The sequence below is a fragment of the Homo sapiens genome, chromosome 21, assembly GCF_000001405.40.
Source record: "Homo sapiens chromosome 21, GRCh38.p14 Primary Assembly".
NCBI classification, from domain to species: Eukaryota; Metazoa; Chordata; class Mammalia; order Primates; family Hominidae; genus Homo; species Homo sapiens.
Genome location: NC_000021.9, coordinates 20,023,875 through 20,029,911, shown reverse-complemented (window position 1 = coordinate 20,029,911; position 6,037 = coordinate 20,023,875). Strand labels below are relative to the sequence as shown.

The 6,037-nt window shown below is 32.5% G+C and overlaps 1 annotated feature.

Annotated features, from left to right (window-relative positions):
- Window positions 1,704–2,903: an enhancer, noted in NCBI's record as "P300/CBP strongly-dependent group 1 enhancer chr21:21399322-21400521 (GRCh37/hg19 assembly coordinates)". NCBI's record gives its function as "activates an origin of replication core promoter dependent on BRD2, BRD4, P300/CBP, MED14 and CDK7 cofactors, with strong dependence on P300/CBP, by STARR-seq in HCT116 cells {active_cell/tissue: HCT116}" and the evidence as "EXISTENCE:reporter gene assay evidence [ECO:0000049][PMID:35650434]".

Here is a 6,037-nt window from a genome sequence, read left to right as displayed (position 1 = left end):
TGTCGTTTAAACCTTTTTCAGATATCTATGTCCAGTGTGGATGCTGAATATTCATAATCTACTCATAATATTGCTACCTGGTGGCAGATACCAGAATTAAAGGGATAATGCTCTTAGGATGAAAAAGGCCAGTGATTTATCTAGGACTGACTTTATGTTGTTCAGTTTAGAGCAATTCTATAGCCAGAGACTAACAGGAATTTGATTTTAAGGAAGATGGTGTATCCTGAGAGCAGATTCTAAAATTATTTCAGGGCTCCAATTGAGATGGATTTCTGAGAATATTTCCATTCCAACTGGGGAACTGAAATATTCACTAGTAGGTTCAAAGATGATATTCTTTTTTGTACTGGATCCACAGAGCTACATCAAGGTGAAATCAAAGTTTTGGTGCATAAAAGTTATCACTGGACATCCACCTGCCAGATATCATAGTTGTTTTTAGCAGAACTCTCTGCTAATAGAGACAACATTTCAACTATACGGCCAAAATTTAATCAAAAGAGACAATTTCTTTGTATTTTACATATAACATTTATAGTGAAGAAGTAAGAAAAGGATGTGACGTCTGTATTAGAGTATGCATGGGCTAAGTTGTTTTAGAAGAAATTTATGGTTAAAGTGCCAGGCTGGAAAATATCTATTATGTGCCATTATTTCACACATATATTTAGATTTATATTTTTAAAATAGTTTTTATATATAAATAATTCTTGCAATATTTAAATATGCCTATCAAGTTTGGATGTTCAGTATTTACGTTTAGCACAAAAATAATTGTAGTGATTTATTAATATTATTTTAAAGTTTTAGACAAAATATATCAAAAGATGCTATTTTTTCAAGGTCAAAATGGTTTTGCATATAAACCATTTTTTTGGTCCTAAAAACCAAATTACCATATAAATGACTGCCTGTAATGTGTTTTATCATATAGATTGATATGATTATTATTCCATGAAAACAAAGTCTATGTAGATACAACATTTGGTAAAAAAAAATAATTATTTTTTAAAGGTATGATTACAGTCACATTTCATTTGAAAATATAAATTTGCCATAAGATTTCTCACTTTGGGGAGGTTTTATATTATTTTCCAAAGACATTATAATTTGAAATCAATTTAAAACATATTGTTGCCCTATTTTGACTTCTTCCAAAATGCTCTCTCAATTCAGGGAGCATATGGTTTTTTTCTATTTTTTTCGCTACCAACCTGCTGACTAAACAATGAAACATCCAAAAACATTTAAAAATGCATAAACCAAATGCTATAAAACAACCATGGTCTGAGTGAAAAGCCAGGCTTGCAGACAAATACAGAGCAGGCTAACCCTCCCAAGTGTTTGGAATGTTACATACGGAGAATGATACAAACAACCAAAAGCTGGACAATTTAAATAAAGGATCTGTTAACATGGTACAATGTGAAAGAGAACTTTCCCCTCTTTCCATTTCAGTTTTGAATTCATAGGATGCTTTTATCTTCTTGCCTCTTTCTATCATGTCTTAATATGTTCCTCAATAAACCATAATGATGCATTTCGGAATGAGTGGGTTTGATGTCCTCACCTTGAAAGATAGCCCTCAAAAAACAAAAGGGCAGGAGTCATCAGCTCCCACACAAAGTAAAAAAATATGAACGTAATTTTAGCAGTGTTAATGAGAAAAAAACTGTCCATGAATTACTGCATCAATAATGCCTTTGTTATGACATCTCTTTTCCCTAAGGCACAGGAGCGAGTGGTATATACTTGTCTGGGAACCAGTTTCATAAATGCTGTTGTTATAATCCATCAAAAGATGAATAGCAATATTTGTCACCAGTTTCACTACCTTTTGGAGTTTGGAGTTTGGGAACTGTGACAGTTCCAGTCTGAAGGTCTGAGAACCAGGAGCTCCAAGGGCAGGGAAAGATCAGTTTTCCAGCTCATACTGTCATGCAGAGAGGGAGAATTCAACCTTTCTCCATCGTCTTCTTCTATTTCAGACTATCAATAGATTGAATGATGTCTACCTACATTGGGAAGGACCATTTACTTTATTGAGCGCACCAATTTAAATGCTGATTTCTTCTGCAAACCCCCTCACAGACCACCCAGAAATAATGTTTAACAAAACATCTGAGCATCCCCTGGCCCAGTGATACATATCCATACTGTGGTAGTTATACTTTTTAATGAGTTAATTTTAAGTGAAATTGCCGTTCTAAGTTTGTATGTGAAATCAAGTTCATACATACTAAAGCTTACTTATAAAAAATTTAAAAAAAGATGAAATGGAAAAAAATTAGAAAAGAAAAATGATGTGGTTTGTTCTATGATAATTTATTCCTTCTTAATTAAAACATTGACTAGAAAGACATTAATGATATGACAAAACAAGATAAACTCTATCTTGCATGCTTTTATTTATTCATTCATTTATGTCTTTTTATTCATTTCATACCAAAAGGTTCACTTATACTTGTAACTTGTACTCATAACTTTCCAAAGGACTTACAAGGATACGGTCTTTGCCTTCCGATGTAAAGTTTTTGATGATTCATTACTCCTCAAATTAATTTTTTCCATAGTCATTTATCGTCATCAAGTTTCTGTCATGTGGCAGGTTACTCATGTCATGCCAATTGCTGCATCCTCCTTAGATTGACTTCTCAAGGGCAAGAAAGGCATTTTCTCAAGGTCACAGGTATTTAAAACAGTGTCACTCCACCGAGTTGATATTTCTACACAAATACATGGTTGGGTTTTCTTTCTTTCTTTCTTTCTTTCTTTCTTTCTTTCTTTCTTTCTTTCTTTCTTTCTTTCTTCCTTTCTTCCTTCCTTTCTTTCTTCCTTTCCTCCCTTTCTTTCTTTCTTTCCTTCTTTTCTTTCTTTCTTTCGAAAATATTTATAGAGACGGGTGACAAAAAATAGAAGTCTTATACCTAAAACTGGTTTTTATCTAGTGTAGAATTCTACGTCCCATTTAAAATGTGTCTCTAAATGACAAGTTTACCTCTGTGAGGAAGGATTATCATGGAAACCTTCCAGACTTTGATGCCTTGGCAACCATTCTTTTTACTCCAGTGATGCAGGATGGAGAGTGTTAGCCCCAAAGCAGAGACCGCGTAGCAATTTGTTTTTGCTCCCTTATACCCTATGACACATATCTTCCCTAGCTATACTTAAAAACAAATTACTTTCTGTTTCATGAGCTACTGTGTAACACAACTCAGTAAAAGAAAAAAAAAAGGATGATGACTGTGAATCCACACTATGCATTGAATGTGAAACATGAGTGTCACTTAAGCCAGAAGAGACAGGAACTACTGATGATATAACTCATTGTAATTACTGAGTATAACTCAGCTAATAATTAAGGGAAAAATTAACTGGGAAATACCATCCTTCTAAAATGATAAAGCAGCACTATTGCCAGAGACATTTAAAGAAACCTGTTTCTATTTTTCTTTGTTGAAACAGATCTAGTCTATTTAGTTGATCAGAATATATATTAAAAACAAAGTTGTGTATATAGTGTATTACATTTTATAGTGTAGTTAGTTTCAGTAATTTTCTAAGGAGGATATTCCTATAATAAGTGAAAAACAGAAATACTGTCATCTATATATATTCTGTAATTTATAGTTTGCAAAACTCTGTTGGTATGAACTGAATTTTGTCCCTCCAAATTTTGTGTGCTCCATCCCTAAACTGTAATATGACTATATTTTGAGATAAACCTATAAGGAGATAATAAAAGTTACATAGGGTTATAGAGTAAGATCTTCATCTTATAAAACAAGTATCCTTAGAAGAAGAGGAAGGCATAGCAGAGATCTCTCTCTCTCTCATCACACATGCACAGAAAAACAGGCATGGGAGCACAGAGCAAGAAGGCAGCCATCTATAAGCCCGAAAGACAGGCCTCATCAGACCCCAACTCAGCTGGCACCTTGTGATTGACATTAGACTTCCAGCCTCCAAAACTGCGAAGAAATACATTTCTGTTGTTTAAGTCATTCAGTTTGTGGTATTTTGCTATGGCAGCCGAAACTGATCAATAATACATCTGACGTATTTATTTTTAGTTGACATATATTAAAAATAAAACAAAAGGGTTAGCAATGATTATAGTCACAGTGCCGGAGCTTAAGAAATTAAACATCAGAAAGTTTGAGTGTCTCAACTCACGTAGGTAGTAAGAGATTTATGATTCAAGATCCATTGTCTTTTTTATAGGAAAGTTTTATGTTTAACCAACTGGTCAAGTAAAACTAGGAGTGGAAAATAGCCATAGCAAGGTGGCTTAACAGCAGCATCATTATGTATAAATGGAAAGAGATAGCTGAAACCAAGATTTTCTTGAAATTATAGAAAAAACAAAATAAAAATATCAAAATGTAAAGTTGTAATATAGTTAGTCTGTCAATATTTTAAAAATTTGGGGGGCGGACAATGAACATGTTGTGTGAAGAATTATCACTTTAATTATATATGTGTGTGTATGTGTCTGTGTAGATACAGATTTAAACCTTATTTAGTTCAATGTGTCTAAACATTGTAAAAGAAAAATCACTGCTATGTCTCTTTGAAGCAATTTACTAAAAGTAATGCACCCATTTCAACCTGCAGAAGTTCAACATATAAAATAAATTTTCTTATCCTCACACTTTCTGAAAGATATTTCCATATTTATTCATAAATATGAAATATACTTATATTAGTTCCGGTGTCATCTGAGTTCCCTTTTTGGGATACTTCATTTTACATTTCTTTACACTTGCCTATGTACCGGGGGAATACAGTGCTTTTAAAAGTTATGTTGGTAACATTTATATCTAATTAACCTCCGTGTGCCAGAGTTACTCCTTACAAATTATATGGACATGTATCCTTATGGGGAATGAAATTTCTCATAACTACACCCCCATGAGTCCTATATTTGAAGAAATCGCTCAGTATAAGTAGAAGAGCAGTTAGGATAGAAACTGTTTAAAGAGCCGACTTCTGTTACCATGGTAACTATAACCTCACCAGGCTCGATCCAGGGTTTATATGAAAGCAATATAATTCTGGCATCGATTTTTTTCGCATTTGACTTTCTTTAAAAATAAAGAGAATCTCTACAGAATAAATTAATGAGAAAATATAAAATATTTTTTCTCCTTGTATTAGTCTGTTCTGGCAGAGCCAAAACATTAGAAGTTATCTTAAAAGTCACATCAACAAAACAAGTAATATTTGTGTTAATAGCCACCTCCTCTTTTAAATTGTATGGATCTCTTAGTGCTTATATTCTGAAAGTACCAAATTTAAGATAAGAATTTGATATCAATAATACCGAGGGAAAAATATTAATTATGACCTAGGAAGTTTATTTTTCTTACGCACAATCCCATATGTCTTAAAATGAGACACAAAACACTGAAATTATAGAAATTTATTTTTTAAAACCCCTTTTTTACTATTATGTTTCAAATTATCTGGTGCTGAGTAAATTCCTTCTTGGATTTGGAATCACATAATGGACAATTTTCAACAAAGCAACAATACAAAATAATGATTTCAAACACAGTGTTTTAGAAAATATCTGGAAATAAGAACCTCATTTATGAAAGATGTGAGACAATCCGAAGCAAGAGAAGAACATACAGAAATATTTTGAGCAAATCTTTTAAAACGTTTAGTGTTAAGGTGCATTGGTAATATGAAGTATAATAATTCGAAATAGAACTTTTCAGCATCAATTGCTTTTCAATAAGGAAAAGAATAACAGAACAAGTAGGAAATGCTTCATTTTTGCATATAATCTTTTACTAGCTTTCAAAATGTACTTTTCTTGTCTGAATTACAATTATTCATTCTTATATATCTTTTGATCAGAACTGTGAAAGACGCATCCACTCATTTTCACACTCAGAAAGTTTGAGAATAGCAGGCAAGTTCATGCAGTTAATCTGTGATAAATACTTTGGCATATGTTACAAAATCTAAAAGAATAATTTATATGAGGCACAACATCTGCTTATAAAAAGAAGACTTGCTAATC